General features: G+C 46.9%; 1 protein-coding gene and 2 long non-coding RNA genes across 22 annotated transcripts, besides 3 other annotated features; 2 read left to right on the top strand and 1 right to left on the bottom strand.

The window, feature by feature from the left end:
- Nucleotides 1-108: 108 nt before the first annotated feature.
- DNAJA4 (DnaJ heat shock protein family (Hsp40) member A4) lies at nucleotides 109-18155 on the bottom strand. 18 transcript variants are annotated; one of them, NR_170657.1, is made up of 9 exons: nucleotides 17907-18155; nucleotides 17405-17543; nucleotides 11623-11803; nucleotides 9101-9205; nucleotides 7876-8103; nucleotides 7200-7312; nucleotides 6572-6802; nucleotides 2155-2255; nucleotides 109-2055 (listed from the first exon to the last, which is right to left on the bottom strand). NR_170657.1 is itself a non-coding variant. In XM_047432836.1 (9 exons), the coding sequence occupies exons 1-9, from the start codon at nucleotides 17984-17986 to the stop codon at nucleotides 1840-1842; spliced, it is 1335 nt and encodes a 444-aa protein (XP_047288792.1). In that variant the 5' UTR covers nucleotides 17987-18155; the 3' UTR covers nucleotides 109-1839. The 18 variants fall into 18 exon arrangements, 11 of the variants coding, with proteins under 11 accessions (XP_047288792.1, NP_001374313.1, NP_061072.3 ...); XM_047432836.1 differs by lacking the exon at nucleotides 7200-7312 and adding an exon at nucleotides 16766-16819; NM_001387384.1 differs by lacking the exons at nucleotides 7200-7312; nucleotides 17907-18155 and adding exons at nucleotides 16766-16819; nucleotides 17715-17738.
- On the top strand, nucleotides 3500-8642 carry LOC105370910 (uncharacterized). The gene is made up of 2 exons (XR_932500.3): nucleotides 3500-4092; nucleotides 7303-8642. It is a non-coding gene; the product is annotated as an uncharacterized LOC105370910 (long non-coding RNA).
- Nucleotides 5379-5673: an enhancer, noted in NCBI's record as "tiled region #12554; K562 Activating DNase matched - State 5:Enh". NCBI's record gives its function as "activates a minimal TATA promoter and a strong SV40 promoter by Sharpr-MPRA in K562 cells {active_cell/tissue: K562}" and the evidence as "EXISTENCE:reporter gene assay evidence [ECO:0000049][PMID:27701403]".
- Nucleotides 17205-17494: a silencer, noted in NCBI's record as "silent region_6709". NCBI's record gives its function as "represses an Ori minimal core promoter by ATAC-STARR-seq in GM12878 lymphoblastoid cells {active_cell/tissue: GM12878}" and the evidence as "EXISTENCE:reporter gene assay evidence [ECO:0000049][PMID:35858748]".
- Nucleotides 17805-17884: a silencer, noted in NCBI's record as "silent region_6708". NCBI's record gives its function as "represses an Ori minimal core promoter by ATAC-STARR-seq in GM12878 lymphoblastoid cells {active_cell/tissue: GM12878}" and the evidence as "EXISTENCE:reporter gene assay evidence [ECO:0000049][PMID:35858748]".
- On the top strand, nucleotides 18156-27857 carry DNAJA4-DT (DNAJA4 divergent transcript). Of its 3 annotated transcripts, none has more exons than XR_001751621.1 (4): nucleotides 18156-18243; nucleotides 18343-18428; nucleotides 24559-24783; nucleotides 27693-27857. It is a non-coding gene; the product is annotated as a DNAJA4 divergent transcript (long non-coding RNA). The 3 variants fall into 3 exon arrangements; XR_001751622.3 differs by adding an exon at nucleotides 21548-21663 and having other exon boundaries at nucleotides 18238-18428; XR_001751620.3 differs by having other exon boundaries at nucleotides 18238-18428.
- The last annotated feature ends 105 nt before the right edge of the window (nucleotides 27858-27962 follow it).

Raw genomic sequence — 27962 nt, 5'->3', positions numbered from 1 at the left:
AGGGTGGAAACTTCATTCCATTATGTCAACCAATGAGAGGCAAGCTGGCAGGCACCTAACACTGTTTATGTGAGCTCTCAAAAAAAGGAAAAAGCAAAGCCACTTATCTCTCATACCAGCTCAATTTTAATTTTAAAGTGACAAATGTACAGGTGGAATAAAATTTTAAGCGACACCCTCCAAATTCCTTTTATATGACAAGAAGGAGCTGAATGTAATTTTACACCATTACCAACTAAACAGTAGTTCTTTAGCAATAATTAGGAAGTCACAGCACAAAAACGACACCCCAGAGTTGTGGTCCATTTATAAATAGATTTTCACCTAGGCTTCGTTGGAAGAAGTGATTTTATATCTATCCTCACCAATGGTCAAAGTGGGCACAGGTGGGCTGTTTCTATACTTTGAGCAAATTATGCCTCACTAGCTGGCAATGTTTTGCGGGAACCTGGTCCGTGCAGCTGGTTCACCTTACCTGCATGGTCTGATCTGCACTTTGACCCTCCTAAGGAAGATCCCTGGTCTGAGTGAAACTCTCAGGTGCCATGTAACCAAATAAGGGTAGGGTAGATCTGACAGGTGGCCTCTGCTTTAACCCAGCAGCTTACAAGTTTTTTGTGACTTGGGGAAAAGAAATAAGCAGTAATGGCTAAAGACTGAGGTAACCCTAAGTTCGAATTGTAGTCTACCTGTCATGAATAAAATAATGACTAATATCCCTCCAAACAAGCTATAATTTACAGTAGTAGTCCATACAAACTGTAATCCACAGTGGAACTCAGCGAAGTTCTTACCAAAACATCACTTGAGCAGGAAACCCTTTGTAATATGGCTGTGCAATGAGAGGAACGATCCTTTGGAAGGGAGCTCAATCTGGGAGAATGAGGTGGAAAACACTGGGGAGTTCTATGCCTTTGCAGACCCTCAAGTCACCCCGGATTACTGGTCAGAGAAGCTGGCTGTGCCATGGGCCAAACCAGCAGCATTCTCCCTTGGCTTCTGTTGCTGCACTGAGGCTGCCGGGGACACAGAAGGATTTAGTTTTCTTTACAAGTAAGCACTTTGGTGGGAAAGCATTGCAAAAGTTGTCAACAGAAAATCATTAAAACCCTGAAGAACAAGGTGTGAGGGTCACAGGCAAACAGTTATCAGCATATGATTCAAACACTGGTTTGTCCTCACCACAGAGCTTGGAAGGTTCAGAAAACTTCCAAGAGAGATGATCAGACACTCACGTTCCATCCACTGAAGGGCACAGAACAGTAGGAACTAAGTTGGCCCTGTTAAGCAGGCACATGCAGCCATGTCCGATCCACGGATGTGCTTTTATTCTTTAAGAGGATCATCTAGAATCCTCAGAAATGTTATCTTAGCAGCCCTGAGATCATGCCCTCAATAACTCTGCCAAGGGAAGAGGGGAGAAACCACAGACCTAGAGATGAGTCAGGATGCCCACTTTGTGCCTTGGGGTTTGCTAGGGGGGCTAAGCTGCTAACTGGGCTGTGCCTTATTGGTGACACTGAATTATGGCAAAGCCACTAGAAGCACAAAGTATTGGTGCAATCACTGACATCTCAAAAGTATATCCTGAAAATAGAAATGAACAGATTCCATATGCAGACTAGAGGTGATTTATACTTAAAACATTTAAATATAAATTAAGCTATAACTTAAGTTACAACCAAAAGAAAAGCCAAAAAGACACTCAGCAATTAAGAATGCTGAACACATACACAGGACATCCCAAACACAAGGCCATTAAAGCGATGTCATTTTCATTGTGCCAACTTTACATTCATCATGTGCTAGTCCGGTGGGGCCACGCTGCCCCGCACCACGTCATGCCGTCTGGCACTGCACTCCAGCCTGGGGCCCGTCTTCGTCCTCCTCGTAGGCCTCCCTGTGCTGACGCCAGTTCTGCTCATTGGGACAAAACTCCTTCAGCTCCACCTGATCCATGTCATCTGTAATCCTCACTTTCTGTCGAGGAGGGAGTAAAGCTTCCAGCTGAGGAAGCTTTTCCAGAGAAAGCCAGTGTTTTTCAGGAAAGATTACCTGTAAAGGGTGAGGTGGGAAAGAAAGGTGGCTGTTTTTTCCCCTTCCAATTAAGGCATTTAATAATATGTCCATGACAATGAAACATAGTGAACTTACTAAAAACTGTATGATCAGAATCCCTTTTTCCAGGGGTGCTTTGTAGATGGGCATTCCTTCATCGCGCACGCATCTCAGGTCCCCGTGCTTTATCACCTCACCTGCCAGAGAAAGGGTCAATTAGGAAGGAGGAAGGCAGAGGGGCCTGCAGAGGTCGTTCTCCCTCATGGGAGAGCCTGCGGCAGGCCCTAGTGCCCCGTGGCAGTGGGCAAAGGAAACGTGGCATCTGACTGGAAAGCTGGCCCCAATCCCAGGTATCCTTGTCAGGTACTGCCTGGGGAAGGGGCTCAGGCTGAGACTCTGGCCTGTGCTCTGGGCTCCAGCAGTGTGTCAAGAGGGCAGCATGGTGCAGCTGCCATCACAGGTAGGTTTAAAACAAGTGAACTAGAAGTCATGACACCCAAGTCTGCCTAAAATGGGGCCAACACCTGTCACCCTGCCTCTTTGTGGGGTGACAGGTATCCCTACCACGAGGGGGACAGGAGTGCTCCCCACAGACAGGAAGAAGCCTCAATAGAGTCCAACCAGTCCCCTGCCTGGCATAAAAACTGGCTCTTGGCCACCTGCAGGTGACACCCAGGTTCCTTGGTAGGGAGCTCACTAGGTGGCTTGGCCACTGGCAGACTCCTTCATGGTCACAATGCACTTCCATACATGCTGCTGAGCTGGAGTCACCCTCCCGGCTGGCACCCGCTGGGTCTTACAGCTACGTGACTTTGGAAGGCATCAGAGGAGTTCAGACCCCAAGAACTCTAAGGCGTTCTCCCAAGTCAGAAACTTCCCTCTAAGCATGGAAAAGGAAAGGGACAAAAGGGTTTCTGATAAAGCATGCTCTTCAGCTCAGCGATGAAAATGGACAAAGACAGAAAGAAATGTTCGGAAAAAATGGGGGAGACGGTGGAGGGGAATGGAAACACTAATTTCTTCAGCAGTCCACTTCCATACGGGACTATGTAGAAAGTGAGCTGTCTCTTCAAGAGGAAATCTTTAAAGAGGAGGTTTTAAAAATAAAGTAAGCCAATGACTATCCTTGAGATTCATTCGCAGGCAGGGCTGTGGTTCAGACATGGCCTTCAGAGCCTACTGACTGTGCAGGACAGCAACCCCTTAGCTAAACTGCTCCAGGCTGCTGGCTTTTTGTGTTCCTGTTTATTCTTTTTTTTTGAAATACAGTCATGGCCAGGCACGGTGGCTCACGCCTGTAATCCCAGCACTTTGGGAGGCCGAGGCGGGCGGATCACGAGGTCAGGAGTTCGAGACCAGGTTGATCAACATAGTGAAACCCCGTCTCTACTAAAAAAAAAAAAAAAAAAAAAAAATAGAAAAACTAGCCAGGAATGGTGGTGTGTGCCTGTAATCCCAGCTACTTGGGAGGCTGAGGCAGGAGAATGGCGTGAACCCGGGAAGCAGAGTGTACAGTGAGCCAAGATCACGCCATTGCACTCCAGCCTGGGCGACAGAGCGAGACTCCGTCTCAAAAAAAAAAGAAATACAGTCATGCACAGCATAGTGACCTTTCAGTCAACAACATTTATGAAGATGGTTGCAAAGATTACACCAAACTTTTACTGCACCTTTCCTATGTTCAGATACTCACATACTCAGCATCGTACTACAACTGCCCACAGTATTCAGTACAGCAACCTGCTGTGCAGGTTTTAGCCCAGGAGCAACAGGCTATGCCACACAGCCTAGGGTGTAGCAGGCTATGCTATCTAGGTCTGTGTGAGTACATTCTATGGTGTTCACACCACAACGACATCGCCAAACAATGCATCTCTCAGAACATATCCCCTTCGTTAAGTTACATATGACTGGTTTTTCTGTCTCCCCATTCCTATCAGGTGTCGCTTCTTGCTGCTCTCAAGCCCTACTCCCCATGCTTCTGCTTCTAGCTTGCTGGGAGCTGGGAAACTGACCAAGCATGGAAAACTACAGGTAAGAGAAGAAGACCACGAGTTAGGCTCTCCCGGCAGGTAAATACCTGCCTGCAGGCAGGGCCATCACACCCTTGTGTGGCTCCAAAATCACTTTTTTAATTAATCCAATCCTCAGCAATGCTCATAACAGGCTAAAAGGCTCTGGGGAAGAAGGCATTTCAACAGCAGAAAAGAGGAAGAAGAGGGAGAAGAGAAAATGGAGAAACAAGAAATAAGCCAACACAAAAGAGGGGTGAAGAAAAGAGAGGGTGCAAAAGAGAACAAAGTAAAAACAAAAACAAAACAAAAAGGACAAACAAATCCCCAAAGAACTCTCCAACGGCAGGTTTCCTGGATGCTCCACCCTTCCTTATAATAAAGAAGGAAATGGATTTCTTGGGATTTGCCACTTCCTTCCCTCTGGGGCTCTTTCTCCACCACCCTCACTCCATTTGGCTCCCGGCTCCCTAGGCTGGGGTCAGCTGAGACAGCAAGGAACGCTGGCTCTTGGTGGGGCCCAGGACCTCAAATAGTCCACCCCTGGACAGGACAGGCTTTCCCAAAGAAGTTACACACAGATGCTTCCCAGCCCCGGCTCAGGAGGGCTAGGATCTGGGCTGTGACCACGTAAGGGCATCTTGGACACAATGCCAGGGTGTTGAGCTCACAACCAGTGGTCTGGAGCTTCGTGTAAACTGTGATCCTCAAACTCCTCCTTGAGGGAGGAAATGGGTGCCTTGGGAGGTCTATGGAAGCCTAAGGGAAGGTGTTTTATTTTAAATTTTCATGCAAATTTTGCATTATACTGCAGTGCTTCCCCCAATCCTGGATTAAGTATATGTATAAAAACACACACAAGTCTGGGCAACATGGCGAAACCCCGTCTCTACAAAAAGTACAAACATTAGATGGGCGTGGTGGCATGTGGCTGTCCCAGCTACTCGGGAGGCTGAGGTGGAGGTTACAGCGAGCTGAGATCACGCCACTGCACTCCAGCCTGGGCGACAGAGCAAGACCCCTGTCTCAAAAAATAAATGAACAAATTTTAAAAATAAATAAAAACAGACACAGATCAAATGACAAACCAAATGGGGTAAAATGTTAACATCAGACAAATCATATATGGATGGGCCTCGGACTATTTTTATATTTACAACTTCTTGTAAGCTTGAAATTGTTTCCAAATAAGTTTATTTTAAAACTCCACAAACCGATCAAGGCTTGGATATATAATTCTGCTTCCTACTATCCCCAGGAAAGGAGGAACCTGAAAGAATCCAAGAGAGGAAAGAGAAAAAGAGCACAAGGCTGGGAAGAGAAAAGCAGACAAGGAGGGGAAGGGGGAGAGGGACACGGAGGGAACAGAAGTCCAGGCCTCAGTCACCCCACCAGACTTGAGTCTTATCTCCAGCTGCCACTGCCCTGGGGGCAGGCTTATTGGTGGTTACCTCCCTGCCTGCCCTGAACCTACCCCTTTTGCACCAAACCTCAAATGGCCATAGAAAAAGGTAATCCCAGCCCCACGGCCAGTGAGGGGACTACAGCAACACTGCAAATGGCTGGTGCTGGGGCCCAGGCTGCTTCGGTGGCGTAGCCGCCACCACACCCATCCAGACATTCTTTGCTATGCACAGCTGACCTTAGTGCTATTCAGAAGCAGCTTCAAGTCAAGGTCCCTGGCCTGGCCTCTCTCCCTTCTCAGCCCCTTCTAGGCAGGTGCTCTGGTGCCCACACAAACCCTCAACTACAGTGAACACACCAACCCTCCTGGGAGATGAGTGCCCTGGTGTCTACAGGGGGGTTGGGGGCTGAGCTCAGGCCTCAGGAACCCTTTCGGCCTAGAGGCATCTCCCTCTGGCTCCCATGGGTGTGTGCAGACCAGCAATTCCTGTGGAAACCTCCAAGGATAAACTGATAGGCAAAGTCTTTCTTACAGGAAAATTCTATTTTAAAATGTAACTCATGTAATGAACAACAGAGGCTACAGGAACATGTGGATGAATCAGCACAAATCACCACTTGATAGAAAAACACCACCTATTAAGCTGTTTTCTTATACAAAAATAAATTTTTAAAAACTTAAGTTTAATTGCCAGAATTCATCTAAAATTCAGAGCCCCAAGATTCTTATTTGAGACTTTCCCCCCAACTGAATATTTTTTCTAGGAGAATATACAAGAACTTTATAAATTATCCAGAGTTATTAGGGACAGTTTTAAATTTAGAGAAAATCACATCATACTAATTTGTGTAACAGAATTTGACCTTAAATGTGAAATCAGGGGAACTATTCCCAACACAAAGAAATAAATACTCAAGGCGACAGATGCCCTAAACACGTGGCTTGATCATTACCCATTTTATGCAAGGGACAAAGTATCACATGCACCCCATCAATATGTAAAATATTATGTAGCAATAAAAAAATCAGGCTAACTTGCCAGAATTATTATGCCAAACATACAGAACATCAATGGAAACACACTTTGAAACATTACCTGCTTTGGATGTAATAACAAGAATTCGATTGTCCAATGTTTTTATCGTCTTCTTGAAGCCACAAAGAGCTTCAGAAAGCTGAATTTTCATTTTCATGATCAAGTCATGGCCTCGTCTCTGAAAGACACTATGATCCTTCTGATCAAGCACAATTATGACATCACCAGGCTCCAGCTCAGGCTCCTGATCTCCTTCTCCATGAAATAGTATCTTTTGCCCATCTTTCATACCTATGAAACATCATCCCTTTCTGATTAGCCATTTCTCATACAAACCATGCTTCCTTAAAGCTTTTGAAGAAGGAACAGAGTCCTTCAGGGATTCTTTATTCATCAAGTCTCCCAACCTCATGCAGGCACAAGGCAGGGAGGGGTGGCTAGGATGGCCAATGACAGAAGAGGTCCCGCTTCCCTTGGCATAATGTGGGGCCAAGCCCAGCATGCACAGGGAGTGGGGGAATGCGGCTCTACATCCCAGGTTTACACAGCACTCCCTGCCCAGGGCCTGTGATGCCACACCACCAGCATAGGGTCACCGCCCACTTCCCGGGGCACAGGGTGCATGACTTGGGACTGATAGGGACAGGTCAGCCAGCCCTGTCCTTTTCTAATAAGTCAGCTTGCACACTCAAGGCACAGGGTTTAGGCATGTTTAAACAGTAAGTCCTTTAATAACACCTGTGTCGGTTTGGCTGTTGATTCTTTTACTTTTGGTCTCATCTCTGATCTAGGATATATTTACTGGATTGGAAAGCCACAGAATCATCGGAATACTTGGAGGACAGCTAAAATGGAAAAAGGCCTTAAAATGATGGCATCAGGCAAAATGAATAGCAGGAGAAGGTGCTGTATTTGGGGGAATCTGATGCAGCACATGGGGAAATGTGGAGAAAGGGAACATGCAGCCACAAACACTTACACAAGCCCTTATGGCCAATGAGCATCAGAAGCGACCAGGAAGACACTCCGAAAGATTCTAGAGGAATGGCTTGAGAATGTCAGGAGATGGCAACTAACCCAAACCAAGGCCAGGTAAGACTTTCAGAGCGTTAGAAAACCTCATAAAGAGGCTGTCTGTGATCTCAAGGAAGTAAACCTCAGCAAGAACACTTTGGCAGGTGACATGGAATGGAAATAAGGCCAGGAAGGGTGAAGAGAAGACTGGGAAACAAGAGGAATTCATGGCACACCCAATACATGTTGTGATACAGCTCACTTCCCTGACATCTAGTCTGTGTATCTCACGATTAGCACCCAGACAGCATTTCCAGCCCGTGTGGAGCACCAGCTCTGCGCAGCCTCACCTTTTTCAACATGTACCTCGATAATCTTCTTCTCACGGATCACCTTGGCCCCGCTGCAGCTCTCGCAGCGGTCCTTGGGGTTGATGCGCTCACCCTGGCCCTTGCACTCGATGCACACGGTCTGGATCTGCTGTACCATGCCCGGCCCGATCTGCTGGATGTGGATCTGCATCCCCCGCCCCTTGCACAGCGGGCACTTCTCCACCGATCCCTTCTTCCCACCAACACCTGCAGGGTCAGGGGAGGCAGGAATGAGGGCCATGCTCTTCCCTTACCAGTGTCCCTGCTGGGCGCCATGGCAGAAGGGTAGGGAACCCTCACATTGGACAATGGGCTTAGAATTCTATTTACAATAATAAAAAACAATGCAGAAGAGTCTGGAGGAGTCCAGCCAAGCAGACAACATCCAGATGTTAACATCTGACCTCAAACGTTTGTGATTTTGGCTGCACCAATCCAAATTTATTACTTTAGCTTCATCAAATGTGTTTTCTTCCACCCCAGGTGGAACTCGCATAGGCCCACAGATGAATGAGGAGGCTGGGGCTGTGGCGATCTAGACAACACAAGCTCTGTCAATAGTGGCAGCTACCCAGCTCAGCCAATTCTCTCTGTGGGACAATGTGAGGCTGGGGTCACCAGACATGGCTTTTCTTGAAAACTCAGGTTTTTTAAAAATTACAATAATTATATATACATTTAAGTCAGGGGTCAAGAAACCATGGCCAGACTGCTTGGTTTTGTAAATAAAGCTTTACTGGAACATAGGCATGTCCATTCATTTATGTACTATGACGGCAGAGTGAACTAGCTACAAAAGACTCCATGGCCTGGAAAGCCTAAAATCTGGCTCTTTACAGAAAAAGTCTGCCAACCCCTAGATGAGGTCAAGTGTCTGATTTTTAATTTTTAAAAATAATTGTCTGTATACATATGTAACAAACCTGCACGTTGTGCACATGCACCCTAAAACTTAGAGTATAATAAAAATAAAAAATACAAAAACATAAAAAGAAATAATTGTCAACATGTCAAATAGAGGTGCAGCCCAAAGAAAACATTCATTCAGGCAAAGAAGTGTGGCCCTCAGGCCACCTGTTTGTAATCTCTGCTTGACCCTTGCATTTGAAAAAAGATAACTTATTTTCCCTGAACTATAAAACAAGCATTGTTTCTGAATCTAAGGGATCAGAACTGTGCGGTTCAGTCAAAAATTAATTTTTACCTTCACATTTCTCACAAATTACATTTTTCTGGAGGGCCAATTTCTTCGTGACTCCATTATATAGATCTTCAAGAGTTACAGATAACTGGTGTACAACATTCTTGCCTTAGCAAGGGAGAAAAAAAATTAGTGGCGTTGAATGAAATATACCATTGTATTAAATACCACCCATATGACCCTTAGTTGTATGAAGTCTCCAGAGACTCAAGACTGTGGCTGGGTCATGCGCTCCCTTCCCTGCAGGAAGCAATGCTTCTATTACCCCAGCCCATCCTTCTGGCCCTCAGCCAATAACAAGAGCTAATACCCTCTCTAGCTATGAGCTAATTATTCAATCATTTATAGAGGCCAACAAAAAGACTTTCCACCTTTATTTTCTGAGAACAAATCTGAGGACAAGGAGAGTACTAATTGAGAAACCAAAGGCAGTATTAACCCACGAAATTGGTTAAGTTTCCCCATGAAAGGAGTCCTTTCTATACATAAATGTTTGGCAGCCAAAGTCTCTGGATCTTTCACTTCCTTGGGCATAAAGCACTTTACTTTCTGAGCCCTTCTGTAACCGGTGGCCAAATGGGAATTCTTTCCTCTGCCAAAATCTTGCTTCTGCAACTCAGGACAGTGGGTGTTCAGTCCACAGGGTGGGGGTGTGCTCCAGCACCTGCCAGCCTGTCAAGACTGACAGCATCAAGACCCTCCCTGCTGCCCGTGGAGCTCCTGCAGTCACTGAGATGAGCTGTCCTGGTTTACTGGCTGCCAACTTTGAGAGATGACTTAATTAAGGGCATGAAGTTTTTCATCTCAAGACAGTGAGGGAGCTGGACAAGAGAATACCCAAGGTTTTTTTTGTTTTGTTTTGTTTTTGAGACAGAGTCTTGCTCTGTCCCCAGGCTGGAGTGCAGTGGTGCGATCTTGGCTCACTGCAAGCTCCGCCTCCTGGGTTCACGCCATTCTCCTGCCTCAGCCTCCCGAGTAGCTGGGACTACAGGCGCCTGCCACCGCGCCCACCTAAGTTTTTGTATTTTTTAGTAGAGACGGGGTTTCACCATGTTAGCCAGGATGGTCTCGATCTCCTGACCTCGTGATCCACCCACCTCGGCCTCCCAAAGTACCCAAGGTTTTATCATGTCCACACCATCAATTATAGGAGCAGGCGATATGCTCAAAGGACAGAGGAAGGATTTTTCCCTAATAAACACTTTGTGATTTTCAGCACTCTATGTTCACAGAATTGACACCCAAGCTTTTTCAAGCTCAAAGTCAATTACAATGTGATAACAAGTGCAGCTTCATTTATCTAGGGGCCTCTCACTGACCAAAGCCACACTTCTTAAACCCCAAGGCAGAGCTCATTTCTTCTGACTTTATCCAGAATTGTAATACGCTTGGTTATCTTTCTGGTTTCAAGATCCAAAGCAGCCTGACAACAGTAAACTAAACAGGGGGAATGGGAACTAGTCTATTAGCAACTACTAACAACAGAGGTGACAGCCCGTAGCCTGGCAGAGGTGAGATGCAGAAAAATTAGGAAGAACAAATCCCGAGAAAGTCAAAACAGTGGCCTGGGGCCATTGAGCTAAGGGCTAAGAAGTTCCTCATTCACCTCCTGGGGATGAAGTTGCTACTACTCATAATGCATTCTGAAAAGAAAGGCAGGTCATTTATAAAGATTTCAAAACATAAAGAGATGAATTTTGTTGCCTAGAAAATCCCCTGAGCAGGCTGGGAAATGAGGCCATACTGAACATGGCAAGAGTACCCACCTAGAATTAGAGAGCCTGCAGCCCACGCCCAGGTCAGGGAACATGGAGGGCCACAAAGGGAGGGTGGGCAAGAGGAGAGAGGAACACTCTCGGTAAAGGATCACTGACAACCACAGGCGGCGTCATCTACATCCCTCAGCACACTCTGGTGCCTGACCCCAACAACAGAGGAAAAGAAGGCACGATGAACTTCACCTTCCTCTTTTCTATCCACCACTCCATTCGCTACTTCATATGGTATTGGAGGGTGTCAGATAATTACTAAATTTACCAAGAGTTTCCAGGTAGCCTGAGCACTAGACAAGTGATAAACTCTTTAAAGTTAATGATCTCAAAACATGGCAATTGTACCTGGTGGGGTTTTTTGTTTGTTTGTTTGTTTGTTTGAGACAGGGTCTCACCCTGCCGTGCAGGCTGGAGAGCTCACTGCAGCCTCGACTTCCTGGGCTCAAGTTTTCCTCCAGCCTCAGCATCTCAAGAAGTAGCGGAGACTACAGGCATGAGTCACCATGCCTGGCTAAGTTTTTTATTTTTATTTTTTTTGAGATGGGGAGTATCACTATGTTGCCCCGGTTGGTCTTGAAATCCTGGCCTAAAACAATTCTCCCACCTTGGCCTCCCAAAGTGCTGAAATTACAGACATGAACCACCGCGCCTGGCCCAATCATATCCTTTTAAAGCATGATCTATCCTGATTCCAACAACACGTATAATTGTGGAAACCATACAACTTATTTATGTTTCTTTAAAAGCATTTACCTCTTCTCTCTCTAGCCATCCGTCCACCACCACCAAAGAACATGTCAAAGATGTCCATGGGTGAAGAGAAGCTGGGGCTGCCTGAGCCTCCTTCTTTAATTGCCTGCTCTCCGCCTTGGTCATAAACATCCCTTTTCTTTGGATCTGAAAGCACTTCATATGCCTGGGATATGAGTTTAAACTTTAAAAGAGAGAGAGAGAGAGATTTTTAGAGAAGTTTCAGTTGTTTTGTTAAGCAAACCTGCCATATAAACATACAAAGTAATAGAGGTATTCTGCCCCCAAACCCTTGAACTAGCCAGTCTATACATCCTCTACCTGGAATCTGACTTGCCTGTCTACCTACTCCTTTGGTAAAGTGGGAAACACAGGGCAAACATATTAAGGGACTGGTGGTAGGGACACGATAAGAATAAGGGAGAGAAGCCAGTAGAGAGGGAAAGTTTCTCACTAATCCGGCTGCACCAGACAGGAAGTCGAGACCAGCTAGGATACCATGAGACAGTGCCAGGGGTGAACCTCTAACCAGATAGAGCCAGGACTCTGGGCATTACCACTGGCTCACCTCCTCATGGGAATCATTTCACTAGTTTACTAGAATGAAATTCAACTACAGGCATCTGTGAGCATCTAACCACGTGCCAGACATTGGATACAAACCTATACTCCTGATCCTCCCCCAAAAGCCCCGCCCCACCCATAGTCTTCCCCATATCACAGTTATTGGCAATGCCAATCTCACCTGTCAACAAATCCCACTGATGCTACCTTCACATTTGCATCTCCAGTACCCTAAGACAGACACAATATCCCATGTGTAGCATTCCTGCCAAAAAGTTACCACTGGAACCCAATTGTACGAAAAGAATCAGAAAACCCAAATTGAGAGATACTCTAAAATTAAAAGATAGAAAAAAACGAATACAATGTGTGATCCTGGATCAGATCCTGCACAGGGGAGAAAAAAAAAAATGGCTACAAAGGACATTATTGGAACAATGGGAGAAATGTGAATCTTTGTTCCCAATGTTAAACTTCTTGAATTTGATAACTTTACTATGGTTATGTACAAGGATGTCCTTGTGCCCAAGAGAAACACGCAGCACTTAGGGCTGAAAGGTTATGCTATAGGTAGCTTCCTCCCAAAATCTTTAGCCAACAGTAATAATAATAATAGATAAAACAAATGTGACAACTTATTTATAACTGGTAAAGCTAGGTGAAGAATACATAGGTGTTCATTGTATCACTCATGTTTTCTGCAGGTATATGGACATTTTTAAAATAAAATCAGAATGCGAAAACATGCAAGATCTGTTCCTTCTTACCACACCACATCCACTCTGGCTGAAGGCACCATCTCAGGCCTGGACCACTGCAGTGGCCTCCTCCGTGGTCTTCCATGTGCCCTCCTCACCCCAGCTTTCAGTGTGTTCTCCACTCGAGCCCACTAATTGGGTCGATCCTCTGCTCAAACCTCTACAAGGTGGCCCACGTCACTGGGAGTAAAAGCCAGTCCTAACTTTCATCTATAAGCCCAACTTGGCACCTGTACTTTCCTCTCCTCCTGTGTGTCCCCACCCCAATTCTATGCCAGTTTCAGCAGGCTCCCTGCTGTTCCTCAACTCTGCAGTCTGGGCCTCAGAGGCACCTCAGCCTGGTGCGGCCTCCCGACTCATCTCTTTCCAGCCTTAGCTCACAGACCACCTTCTCAGGGATGCCTCCTGGTGATCCAGCTTTAACACTGCAAACCCACCTCAGACCCTCCCAGCCCCCACAACTGCTGCATATTTCTCCATATCATGAACCACCTTCTAACAAGCTGCATCATCTACTGCTTATGCTGTAGCCCCCACTGCAACATAAGCTCCATGAAGATGGGGGGTTTTGTCCACTGCTGTCTAACTGAGCCTGGAACCATGCCTGGCATGTAGAAGGCACTTGGTAAATACCTGTTAGATGAATGGCTCGATTCTGGGAACTCAGAAATAAATAAATGAGGTAGGATCTTGGCCCTCCAGAGGCTACAGTTTAGTCGGAGAGACAAATATGGATATATAGATAAACAGATCCTATAATGCAGCTGGCTCCAAAAAATATTCAGGGAAAAAAAGTGCCATGAAATAAGGAATTTGAGAGAGAGAACAAGGGAATTTGAGGCATTAATTCCCTTGTTCTACAGATCCCTGATTGAAATCTAATAAGTAACCAATAATAATAGCTAATAAATAGCTAAAAAACTACAATTTAGAAAAGTCTTAAAAAGACATCAGCATCATATATAAGGCAGCTAGATCTTTTGATATGTTAATTCTCATACCATTTCTGCGAAGAAGTAAGTACCATTCACTACTATCCCTTTCCTCAGCAGAAAACATGAGGTAGAGTGTAAGGATTGGGTGCCTGGTACAGATCAGAAAGCAACTAGGCCAGGCTGCCCCTAGACAGTTTCTGCGTCTATCTGCAGGTCAGGACTAGGTAAATAACTTCATGGGAACGTCCACCGGAAACACTCACCAAATACCCTGGATACTCACATGTCATTTAGACTTAATAGAATGATCTAAGAATGGAAAAGGAGTACCCAGTTGCTTGGGACATTCAGTCAGAGGCCAGATCTCACATGGGATGGGGGTTCCAACTACCAGTAGGGAGTCCATCCTCTAGGGTCCCAGCACTCCAAAGTCTAATTCAGCTCCCGGCCCGGACCCCCTTCTCCCAGTGGGAGACGAGTGCTATGATGAGCTTGCCTTTCAGACCATGATCATTTGCCACAGAACCTTAACAGGATTACTATACAGCTGAGGGGAAAATGGCTTTGAAGACTACGTAACAACTTGGGAAAAGTACTTATAATAAAATATTAAGTGGAAACAAGAAAACAAAATGTCTATGTATCAGGATGGCCATGTATGATCATACTGGGGAAAGCTTGGAAAGAAGCACAGAGTGGTTAGGATAATGTGTACTTGGTAGGTTTCCCTCTGTGTTCTAAAATTTTCTGCATGGTTTGCTATGTTCTGATTTTTGAACTTGAAAGTCTATTATTCAAACTAAAAGTTACAATGAAATTGACCAAAAGACCAAACTCATCTCAACAGGGTAATAGCCAAGAATATACCCCACATCATTGCCCCTAAAAGGGACTATCTTGGTGACCCACTACCTACCACCCATGCATCTTGCAAAAAAAACAAAAAACAAAAAAAAAACACCCGCAGAGAAGTACAGACTCCATACAGAGTGCCCAAAAAACACAAGGTGCCCCAATGCTTAGCAACAGGGGACAACAGGGCAAAAAACAAAGACCAACATTTCAACGGCCTTCTCAGTTTTCCCAGCAAGGGGTAAAGAACTGGTGTAGTCTATTTTTGAAGAGACGTTAATAATACAGTGACGAACTTAGGAGGAAAAAAAAATTTAAAGGTTCTACCTGTGATAAAGTGGAAAAGAACTACACACACATACACACTCACATACACACTCACACACACACTCACACACTCACACACTCACATACACACTCACACACACACTCACATACACACTCACAAAAGGCCTGCACAGTGCACCCAGCACACAGTGGGGACCAGAAGAGGAGGTATTTGTTGAATGAATGAATGAATGAATGAATGAGCTCTCTCTGGGGAACTCTACAGCCGTTTCTATAAATTGTGTCCCCAGTCTCCTCATCCTCTTTGATTTCCGATCTAAATTGCCACTCTCCTCCCAATATCCCTTTCACTGCAATTTCCCTTCCAATTTGTGCCTTTATAGGGCCCTCTCCTCCTACACACAATTTTTTAAAGTGCATTTACTCAGCCAGCTAACAAACATTTTAGCACCTACCCTGCACAGCTAGATACTCACCCCATAAGTGGCCATGGGGGCACAGTCACTGCCCTGCTTACATTATGGCAGGTAATACAGTTATCAAACAAGTAATCACCATTAAAGGAATACAGTTAATCAAACAAGTAATCACCATTAAAGTAGGATGCACGTTGGGCCTGTGGTTCAGTCTATGAGGCAGAGGCAGCCTCCTGGAAGATGTTTTAGCTGAGAACTAAAGAGTTTTATCCCCTTCCATGAAGGTAGAGGAAGGAAAGTATTCCTGGCAATGGGCACATCACAGAACCCTTCCCTCCAAGCTGATGGGCCTGCCAGACCTCACTGCCAAGGGCCTCATTTATGTGACACTAACTCAGTGCCTGGCTATGAATAAATATTAGTTTAAAACAAACCAAACAACCTGCCCAGACAGGTATAGACAGGGTGAAACCTACACATATGTAGTACAGGTCAAGTCTAATTTTTTAAAAATAAAAGCTTCAGAACAAAAGCATATTCAGCTCTAACTGTATACACAGAGGCATGAACTTACTCTTGTGAGTGCTGAGATTTGACCTGAATCCAGGGTCAGGCTTTCCCACATGTCTTTAGCCAGCTTGCTGAAATGTGAAATTAGAAGCCTACAAGCTCTCCTTAAAGGAGACTGTCAGAAGCGGACCACAATGAATGTAGGGAGCAGGTGGATGAATCACCAGCACCATGTAAAACGCCAGTGCCTTTAAAAGCTACAGTAAGCCATCTAAATATAGATGAGAAAGAACGCAAGTGAGTAACAGACAAATGGTCTTACAGGAAAGCATTTTAAACTTGTGACAGCCACATTCAGCACATGTGGCTAAATATAAATATTCCATCACTGTTGCCATTCAGCCAACCGTCCTGAAGTAGCTTTCTCCAGCTTGGAACAACTAACACAGACAGGTATTTTGATTCCAGCGTCGTTTCCACAGGTCTTAAATGCTACATGGGTGATTGGTGTGGTTTCAAACGTGGCCCAAGTGACACTGCTATCAGCTACTATAACGGCCCCACCTCTCAAGACCCATGCGGAACAACCAAAGTTTTGTAAGAAAATGGCAAGAAGTGAAAGGAGGAACGGGAGGGTTAGCAGCCTTTCCTTGCAATGCCTCATCCTTCAATTCACCTATTCAGGTGGGTCATGAGCCTCTTTAGAGATAAAAAGCAAACTTTCTGTAAACAGGATGGAAAAGCTTTTAACTTCTGTCTCTAAAATGCAGAGCATTTTCAGTCTATGATTGGTACTTATGATCAACTGTGTGTCACTTGTCACCGAAAACCCAGAATATGAGTACAAGCTGATGTCAGGTTGCAGATGTCCGTGTCCCTGTTTAATAAAGAAAATGGGATTATTCACTATCTGACGCTTTTATCAGGTAGGCAGTAGGTGCACAGAACAAATCCAGCTAGTCATTCTCAAGAGAGGCACGGCGTTTGTCCAAGGTACCAGCTCAGATTAAAGACACTCATCCCTAGGGTTTATGCATCAACAGAGAATATGAGCCAGTCGTTCCCAGCAAGTAAACAACTGTTTGTGTGTGCCTCAGTTTCCCGATTCCCAGGCCGCCTCTCCCACAGGGAACCAACACACCCTATGAGAACTAGTCCGGCGCGCACGGCAGGGGCTACCCAAACACTTGTGGAGCGAATGGAGGAATGAATGGGCTCGGCAGGGACTCGCGAGGGACCCAAGTGCCGCACCACATGCCTCCTCCGCGGGCGAAGCGCCCTCCACCGACCGCGCCGCACGGCGCCCAGGGTCTCCCGCCACCTCTGCCCGGCCTGGCCCCGAGGCGCCTGGCGACAGCCTCCCCAACAAACGCGGCTCAGGTTTCCCGTCGCCTTCAATGCTCCTGGCTTAATAACCCTTGGCCCCTCGGGAGCCCGGCCCGTGCCCCGCGCCGCCCCGCACCTTCTCGCCCTCATCCGGGTTCTTGTCCGGGTGGTACTTGAGCGCCAGCTTCCGATAGGCCTTCTTGATCTCCTCCGGGGACGCGCTGGGCTTCACGCCCAGGATGTCATAGTACTGGGTCTCCTTCACCATCTTGTGTCTGCGGGGGGGGCGGGCGAGGCCGGTCAGAGCGCCCCGGACGCCCCTGCCGGCACCCTGGCCCGCGCCCCTGGCCCGCGCCCCCGCCGCCCGCTCGCGCGTCACGGTCACGGTCGCCGCCGCCGCCGCCGCTTGTAGCTCCCGCCCGCCCCCCGCCCCGCGCCGGACCGACTTCCACGCCTGGCTCCACCGCACTAGAGCCACCGGCTCCTCCGCGGCGGGTTTTATTCGGCGCCGGCGGAAGCTTCCGCAAGGAGACGGTGACGCCACAAAGGCCTAGAACCTTCGCGGAGGTTCCGGCGGCCCCGCGGCGGGTTCGCGGCCCAGACCCCCGACGCCCGTCCGGCGCGGCCCAGCCGCTCACCTGGGCTTCTCGGGCGTCTGCTCCTTTGGCTGCCCGTCTGATTCCCCGGAGCTCCAGCTCTGACTGCCGCCCCGGGCCATGGCGGGGGCCGGAGAAGGCGGCTTGGGCCTGGAGGGCGCCCTCCGACAACTGTCCCGCCGCCCCGAGGCCGCCCCCTTGCCCTTCCGTGGGTCCGTGGAGCCGGCTGGCTGGAGAGTAGGCGGCCTGGAGGGCTGTGTTGGCCGGAGCCCTGCGCCGAAGGGTGGGACTGGGAGAGCTGCGCCCTGCGGTCCCCACCCGGCCTCTCCCCGGGGGTGTGGCCGCCGTCTGTTCGGTCACAGCCAGGCTGCGGCCTAAGGTGTGCCTGGGATTGTTGCATTTTTTAGGGGGTTGGAGTGGGTAGGGGCCCTCTGCTGCCTCATGACTGCAAGGCTGAGGTGAACCTCTGGCCTTCCAGTTGAGGTACAGGGGTCCTTTGCTGGCCCCAGATGTGGACAGTATCCTCTCGAATGCCCACCACTGGGAACCCTTAAGTCCCTCAAGGTGAGCAGTGACGTCCCCCACATATGGGCAGTGACGCCCCCCAAGTCTGCCAAGGGCCGACAGTGCCCTCTCTTCTCCCAGAAGTGGGAAACTGCCCCCTCTCCTCTGCACATCATCAGTGAGCAAACATCAGGGCCCGACCAGGCTGTTGGGCCCAGTGTTATGCACAGGGGGTCCCATGGCCTGGACCCTGAAACGGCTAGGTGGCCCAGGATGCTTGCCTTGGAAGGGTACAGGAGTAGGTCCCGACTTCCCTAGGCTGCCCCCAGCTCCCAACGGGTGCTCAGGGAGTCCAGATCACAAACCGTTGCAGAAAAGTGGGCGTGGAAAGCAGGCCCCAACGCTATCACAGAATTGCAGGCCCCTGTCCCCTAGCCCTCCCTTGGCTTCTGCCAGGGGAACAGTTTGTCAGAAAGGGGGGTCACTGCTCACCTCCCTGGGATGCCCTGGCCTTGTTTTGGGTACTGTGGCTGAAGCAGGTACTACCTCTCCTCCATGTGTTCCATGGGGGTGAGAAGTGACTTGTACTGTACAAGAGAAATTAAGCTGCTCTTCTTGGAGATGTTGCTTTTTTTTTTTTTAAATTATGCCTTGTAGAGCAGAACCTTTAGGCAGAGAACTCAGAGCTAGAGGTCAGAAACTTTGTTTTCTATCCAGATCTTACTGTCTGAGCCTTAGCATCTCAACACTTTTCTTCGTCAGCAGGACATGGGGATTGCCACTTGCCTGCCTTTCTCACAGGGCTCTTATAAGCATCAAATGGGATGATAACTGTGAAGACTCCTAGCGCAGTGGGTCTCAAACCTGGCTCCTGACAGAGATCACCTGGAATCTTCTAAAAATCCCTCTGGGTTGCACTCCACACCTGTTACCTTAGAGCTTCTAGGGGTGAGGCCCAGGCATCAGTGTTTTTCAAGCTCCCCAGGTGGTACAGCCAGAGCCGAGATCCACTGCCCAGGGTCACATACTTGTCCAGATTTAGTACTCGGGACCATAGGCATTCGTAAAATGGGCATGTGCAGGAGAGGGATGGCTTAAAGACAGAGCCTAGAAACATAGAATGGAGCTATGCACTTTGGACGACAGTGAATTCTGGAACCAGTGAGACTTAGACCTAGGTTCAAATCCCAGCACTGCTACTTCTGGCTGTGGAACCTTGGGCAGACAACTTAACCTTTCTGAGCCTCAGTTTTCTTAACCTTTTAATGAGGATATTAATTATAACTACTTCATAACTTTGTGAAACACCTGGTATATAGTCACAATATTGATGCTTTTTGGGGGTGGGGGGGTGCGGGCAGGGGCTAAGGTATAGAAGCTGATAGTGATTCTCTTCTTGATGGAACTTAGCCAGGCTCCTATGAGCCCTCTTCTCAACTAGGCTTCAGTCTTGGCCTATAAAGACTGAACAGACAGCAACACAGTTTCTAATAATTCAACGTCACATCCTTAAGATCACCAGTTCCCAGGCTTTTTGGCACCAGAGACCAGTTTCATGGAAGACGATTTTGTCACGGACAGGGTGGTGGGGGTGGGCAATAATTCTATGATGAAGGCCTGGCGTGGTGGCTCACACCTGTAATCCCAGCACTTTGGGACGCCGAGGTGGGCAGATCACTTGAGGCCACGAGTTCAAGACCAGTCTGGCCAACTTGGTGAAACTCCATCTCTACTAAAAATACAAAAATTAGCCAGGGATGGTGGTGCTCGCCTGTAATCCCAGCTACTCAGGAGGCTGAGGCACAAGAATCGCTTGAACCCGGGAGGCAGAGGCTGCAGTGAGCTGAGATCACACCACTGCACTCCAGCCTGGGTGACAGAGCAAGACTCTGTCTCAAAAAATAAAAAATAAATAACAATAGGATTGTCTAGTAAAATCAGATATTTTTGGCCAGGTGTGGTGGCTCAGGCCTGTAATCCCAGCACTTTGGGAGGTCGAAGTGGGCAGATCACTTGAGCTCAAGAGTTTGAGACCAGCCTGGCCAACATGGTGAAACCCCGTCTCTACTAAAAATACAAAAATTAGCCAGGTGTGGTGGCACGTGCCTGTAATCCCAGCTACTCAGGAGGCTGAAATAGGAGAATCACTTAAACCCGGGAGGCAGAGGTTGCAGTGAGCTGAGACTGTGCTACTGCATGCCAGCCTGGGCAACAGAGAAAGACTCTATCTCAAAAAAGAAAAAAAAATGGAGGATGAAACTGTTCCACCTTAGATCATCAGGCGTTAGATTCTTATAAGGAGCATGCAACCTAGATCCCCCGCATGCACAGTTCACAGCAGATTTCAAGCTCCTGTGAGAATCTAATGCCACTGCTTGGTTCCTGACAGGCCACAGACCAGTACTGGTCCGCAGCCTAGGAGTTGGGGGCCCCTACCTAAGGTGACCCTGGCCCCACTACCCCCTCTTAAAGTGCCTGCCTGAGAAAACTCAAGGCTGCCAAAATATTTACTGTGTTTTTGTTTCATCCAACACCTGAGGATAGAGCTTCTGTCTCCCAGTCTCTTTGGGAGAACGGCATCCTAACTTTGGCAATTGGCAGCTAGCAGACACAGCTGGCCTAATGTCACTTACACTGACCAACCCTTTGTCATTTTTCACTTCCCTGATTCTGTTAAACTGCTGCTTGTCCTTCTCCCTATTCCCTCATGTTCTTTTCAAAATGCCCAATTACTTTTCGTACAAATCGATATTGAGCTCAGTTCATACTAGATTGTTTTCCCTATTGCAATAGTTATGACTGATTAAATTCTGTCCTTACAATTTTAACTACTGTTCAGCTTTGTTTATCTTAGACAAAGCCTCTGACAATCTAGTAGATTATTTCCCAGAATTATGCTTGGGAGGATTGGAGGCATTACACAGACATTTCTTATTTTGTCAGTTATGTGTTTATTTTCATGATGACCTTTTCATTACTGCAACTTTTATTAAAAGTGACACTGACTTTCCACTCACAGTAAGCAATGTATGGTTTCCTTTTTATATTCTTTTAAAAAAGAGTAGATAAATAGTAAGTGTATGATAGTACCTGTAGTACAAGAATAAAGCAACAGTGGTGATACTTGAATGACAGAAATTTGGGAAATGCTGATCCAGTTCTACCATCTCATTCTACAGTTGGGGAGACTTTTAGACAAAGAAGCCACATTATACAGAACAGCCATTGTCCCTTGATGCAGTGTGGGGCTTCCTTTCTGACCCAGTGTAGAAGGAGAGTCAAAGCAAGCACGGAAGTAGGTTTTACCCAAGGAATGCTGGGATGGGGTCTTCAAGGAGTCTTCTGAGAGGGAGAAGCCACACCTACCTGGGGAGGGGGGTCAGGAAGGACTTCATGGACGAGGGACATGTGCCATAGACCAGGAAGTTAGAGCTCCCTTTAGCAGCAGGGAAAGGGAGGGCAGCCATGCTGAACGGACAGCAGGATAAAGGCAGAGAGCACAGATGGATGAAGGCTCTGAATTGGAAGGGAAGCAGGGACAGGTGTGCTAGAGCCTTGAATGCCTTGAGGAGCAGTTTGCTGCTCTCCTGGGCCCTGGGGAGCCATTGAAGGTTTCAGAGCAGGACCTGCGTTCTGAGAGGTGTAACTAGCAGCAGACCCCGGGGGCTGGGTGGATCTGGACCTCCTGGGAGAGGCCCAAGCTGGGCATGCCGGTTTGTAGAGGCAAGCCCAGAGAGAGGGCATAGAAGGAGAAAGAGAGCTCCAAGGAAAAGCGTTGGGGAGCGCCTGTCTTTAGGAAGTGGAAGGAGCAACAGCCATCGGAGAAGCAAGAGGAGAACCCAGAAAGCAGAGAGGACCAAAATCATGCAAGGCCAGAGCAGCGAGGGGTAGAGGAGACAGTGCCTGGGTGGCAGAGAGGCTGGGAATGGGGGGGACCAGTACTTCAAGGGGAGGACATTAATTTATTGGCCCCCGAAACAGCAGTTGTCATTTCAGGCCATTGTTTTAATATTGGGAGGGATTTCCACTTGGAGAGGCCTTGCCCCTCACTGGCTGTGTGACCCTGGGCAAATTAGCTTTCTCTGAACATCCATTTCCTCCTTTGCAAAATGGGGATAAGAACATCTGCTTCACAGAATTATTGTACAGATGAATGGAGACAATGTGTAAAGGGCTTACCATGTGCAGAAAGCACGTGTTCTCACGATGAAATTTATTGATTTCATCACAACAGGATTTGTGCACAGCAGCTATGTGTCTGGCTCTGTGCTGGGAACCAACAATACAGCACTAGATTAAGGTTATGCCTGTCCTCGAGGAGCTCAGAGACTAGCTGCACCTCAACATCTGACTCCAACCACTTTGGGTGACCCCTAGCACGGGCTGATTTTGCTAGCATTCCAACCCATAGAATTTTCTAAGAACTCACACTGAAGTAGTTAACCGTTGCCACCTTGCTTGAACAATAAAACCTGAGCCCCTGGCTACATTCCTGTGGGTTAGGGCCTGGTCTCTGAGAAGTCACTTCTTCCTGGAACTTGGCCTTTACCCAGAGTTGCTGTCACCAGAGGTTGGGGCTGCCTCTGTTTGGGGAGAAAAAAACTAAGAAAGTGAGGGAGTGGTCATCCTGCCACATATTTGGGCTTTAGAGACAAAATTCTGAGGTTTTCTCATCAGGGCACCCATCTTTTGAGGTCCCAGAGTCCAGAGAGAAGACATCCCTCCATCCTTCCAACAGATATGTAAAGTGCCTTTTGTGTCCAGTGTTGCAAGAGGCTTTGGAGCACACCGGGGAACAGATCCTGTCTCCCCCACACAGAGGACAAGAAAAAATCTAGAAATAAAGCTCTAACTGTAGGAGCAAAGGAAAAGTGTCCTTTTGAATTCTGGGTGGTCAGAAGGAGGAGATGACCTTCGCATGAATCCTGGAGGTTGAGAAGGAGCCAGGCGTGCAGGACTCGGGTTAGGGAGTTCTAGGCACAGGCAACAGCACGTGTGAAGGCCGCAAGGTGTGAAGAACCAGAAAGGAACCAGTGTTTCTGGAACAGTGATGGAGAGGGGGCATGGCCTTCAGGGCAGAGTGGGATTTTATCCTTAGGGCAGCAAAGGTGGGGGGTGTACTTTAAAATTTTTGTTGTATATTTATTTCATAAATTTTATTTTTTTAACTTTATTTCAGCAATATCTCTATGTTGTTACAGACAACATCTTTGCATACTTTGTGTTCTATTTTCAGTAATGCCAGATTATAAAACATTTCTTGAGTCATTGTAGCTCTCAGTTTCAATTTGGAGACATTTTGCTCCTCTGAGGCATAGCAAAATCCTCAAAGCAGTCCTTAGATTCAGAAATGAACCATGGATTTTATATGCTTGAATGTCGTAATGGAGTCTCATAAGATAATTGAGAGTTACTGTAGAAATATTACAAATATTTTAATTCCATCATATAATAGCTATCAGTTTTTTTAAAAAAAAAGTTTATAAAAACAGCTGACACACAATGAATTGCACCTATTTAAAGTGTACTGCTTGATCAGTTTCGATATATGTATATACCCATGAAACCACCATCTTAATCGAGACGTGAGCGTATCTATTGCTCCCAAAAATATCCTCATGAAAGAGTATATATTTAAAAGCCTGCTCAAGCTTGTATTGGTCTGCAGTTAAGCTGGGGCCACAGGCCTGTTCTGCTGTCTCCTAGTTTGTTTTTTTCCAGAAAATAAACCCATCAGCGCTTCAGTTGTGATACTGGCTCCATCACTTCTTAGCTGCGTGACCTTGGGCAAGTTACTTAACTTCTCTGCCTCAATTTCTTATCTGTAAAAAAATACCTACCTCAGGGGGTTGTGAGGAATATAAAAGGTTATGTGTGTGTGTGTGTGTGTATACACACCCACACGTGTGTATATAAATTATAGGATGAAAAGCTCTTGGACAGTGCTTGGCACAGTGTTCAATAAATACTGGCCATTGTTGTTATTTGATACAAAGAGCTCCATACATGCATCTGCCTAGAAGGATTCTATTTGGAAATACAAAAAGCCCAATAGGGTGGGAGGCTGAAAACCCTTCAGGGGAACTTGGCTGAGACACTTACCATAATAGTGCCACTGTTATAGGGTGCCTTGTTATAGGGTGCCTTGTGTGTGTGTCCAGTAAAAGCTACACTTAATGATTTTTTTCAGATCTTTCCTCAGCCTCGGCCAGTCCTATCTCAGCAGTAGTGGCCGGTGTTAAGTATGGTGCCTAGAAAATTACAGACTATTCCAGACCAGGAAGGAAAGTTGACTTCATCTTCAGATACTCAGGCTCCAGCCTGGAGACATCTCATCTCTCCTCTGTCACTCCTTCCCCATTATTAAAGTTTGTGGATGTTCCTTAGAGTCTCCCAGACCTGTCTTGGCTTTAAGGTGAGCCCTCATCATCCTCTGCCTAGCCCTCTCCAGTCACTCTCCTTGCATTCCAGAAGTCATAGACCTACTCTGGAAGCTTTGATGGATCACTGAGTAGAATAATGAAATCCAAATCCTTCCCCTGGCATTGAAGTTTTTCCATGGTCTGAACTCAGTTTACCCTTCTTGGCTCCAAGTCCTCAGAGCGCTGTTTGCACTGTCAGAGTAGTGTGGTGCTGTTCACCAGCTTGGAAGGTTGAGAGAAGTAGCCTGAAATCTGTTCAGAAGCAGAAAAACACTGCAATTCTATTATGATGATGGTGGAGTCACATTTTTAAATGTGCTTCTAAGTAGCTGGCATTCAATTGTTCTTAGAATGGGAACTATCTTTGGAAAAAATACATTGATAAGGTATTTGAGATTCTAAGGCCAGGGTCTTAAAAGATAATGGCAAAACTTCCTGGCATGACATGGGAAAGGAATTTGTTAGGCTCTCAAGAGGGAGAAAAATAAGAAGCAAGGAGGGAGAGGGGGCTGGGCGTGGTAGCTCATGCCTGTAATTCCAGCACTTTGGGAGCCCAAGTCAGGCAGATCACCTGAGGTCAGGAGTTCGAGACCAGCTTGGCCAACCTGGCGAAACCCTGTCTCCACTAAAAATACAAAAATTAGCTGGGTGTGGTGGTGCACACCTGTAATCCCAGCTACTCAGGAGGCTGAGGTAGAAGAATCACTTGAACCCGGGAGGCAGAGGTTGCAGTGAGCCGAGATAGCACCATTGCACTCCAACCTGGGCCACAGAGCAAGACCCCGTCTCAAAAAAAAAAAAAAAAAAAGAAAAGAAAAGGAGGGAGAGGGAAGAGAGAAGAGCCTGCAGGATGAAGATAGGTTTGAATCAGGTGAGCCTGCTAGGCCCTCCTGTCTCCTCACCACCCCAGCCCATCTTCAGTCTGCTAAACTCACAAATATTTGGTGCTTGTGTGTGTGGGTGTGTGTGCAGGGTAGAGTGAACGTGGAAGGAGGGGGTGAACACCTGCAGAGGGGGCCATGGAACCCTCTGCCCCAGAGAATGCACAGGATTGTGAGGAAAGCTTTGGAGTGCTGTGGGCTGTCAAATTTGAGGCATTCAAGCCAATTTTACTGAGTCTGGATGAGCAGATGGTTCCATTTTTTATTGTTACTGTCGTTGTTGTCACAAAAAATTACCCCTCAAAAAGATACTCCCTCCTGGGAAAGGCACAGAAGAAAGAAGAACAGAATCTTGTTGCAAAAAATATATATATCCTTCAGAAATGCTTGCTTGGCAAAAATACATCTTTCCTTTCTTTTTCGCTGTTAACCATTATGTGGAACCAGGCCCTAGAAAATGTCAGGCTCTGGCCAGGCATGGTGGCTGTCACCTATAATCCCAGCACTTTGGGAGGTCAAGGCAGGAGGATTGCTTGAGTCCAGGAGTTTGAGACCAGCCCGGGCAGCATAGTGACACCCTATCTCTACAAAAATAGAAAAAAATTACCCAGATGTGGTGGTGTGCACCTGCAGTTTCAGCTACTTGGGAGGCTGAGGTGGGAGGATTGCTTGAGTGAGCTGGGGAGGTTGAGGCTGCAGTGAGCCCTGAATGTACCACTGCACTCCAGCCTGAGCAACAGAGTGAGAACTTGTCTCAAAAAATAAATAAATAAATAAATAAATAAATAAATAAATAAAGTCAGGCTCTGAATAAATAGATAAAGATGTCCAGTAACCATATTTTAGAAGCTCAGCCTCACTACTATCACTACTAATCCAAGAAATGCCAATTAAGACAATAATACATGATACCATTCTTTGCCAATGAGGACCGAGGAACAGCTGAATCAATAAGGGAATCATGGGTCCCTGTACAGTGGAGAGAAAGAATGCCCCATGTTCACCTGCTGCAGGCCTCACAGAGCAGGCCATCAGGACCAGCTGGGACTGGGTGACAGGTGTCCCCACCTTGGGTGGTCCAGCATCCAGGAAGAAACAGTCAATCCTCCTACACACCCAGGAACCAGAGGGCAGACCTGGGGAGCCAGGCCTGGGACAGGTAAGCATTCACAGAAAGGGACCATTGTAACCTGAAAGGGGACCACCTATATTAATTTTTAAATTTTCATAATACTTTATATATAAATCACATACAGTAAAATGCACAAAGCTTAAGTGGGCTGCTCACATGTGTAGACCTATGTGACCACCTGGATCAAGATATAGGTACTTCTGTCACCCCTGAAAGTTTCCGCATTCTTTTGAGTTCTGTCACCACAGACTATATTTGTCTATTCTTGAGTTCCGTATAAATGGAACCATATGGTAGGAGATGTTTTTAGTCTGGTTTCTTTTATTCATTACACCTTTTTGAGATTTGTCCATGGCCCTACATGTCTGTCTCATTAGTCCATTTGTCCTGATGAGAAATATTCTATTGCATGGATATACCACGATGTGTTTATTCATTATCCTGATGATGGGCATTTGGGTTGCTTACTGTTTCAGTCTACCATGTATAAAGCTGCTTGCATGAATCTTTGTGTGAATGTGTGGTTTCATTTCTCATCCACTCTCATACCTGAGAGTGGATTTACCGGGTCACAGAATAGGTGTCTGTGTTACTGCTGTGTGAGGTCTTGCCTCACTGACAACCAAGCAAGCTGTTCTGCAGTGGACATCAGCTGGGTGTCCTCTAACTCAATTCTGACACTGTCTACCTGGAGATAGCCTCAGACCCCACAGGTCAGTATCGCAAGACTTTAGATGCCCTCCCACTTTAGATGCCAATCACAACCTGTGCCTCTGGCCAGCTATGAATTGGGGTTTCCACAACCCCCTCCTTGGGTTCAATTAATTTGCTAGAGCAGTTCATAGAACTCCGGAAACACTTTAGTTATGTTTACCAGTTTATTATACAGGCTGTTACGAAGAATGCAGATGAACAGCATTCGTGGAAAAGATGCACGGAGCGAGGCCTGTGGGGAGGGGAGCAGAGCTTCCATGCCCTCCCTGCATGCACCACCCTCCAGGAACCTCCACATGTTCAGCTGTCTGGAAGCTCTTCCGAACCCTGTCCATTTGAACTGTTATGGAGGCTTCATTACATAGGTATGATGGATTACATCATTGGCCTCAGTGATTAACTCAATCTCCAGCCCTTCTGCCCTCCACCAGGGTGGTCAGGGAGG

The sequence above is a fragment of the Homo sapiens genome, chromosome 15 (assembly GCF_000001405.40).
Source record: "Homo sapiens chromosome 15, GRCh38.p14 Primary Assembly".
NCBI classification, from domain to species: domain Eukaryota; kingdom Metazoa; phylum Chordata; class Mammalia; order Primates; family Hominidae; genus Homo; species Homo sapiens.
The sequence above is the reverse complement of the archived record's forward strand: the minus strand, read 5'-3'. Positions and strand labels throughout refer to the sequence as shown.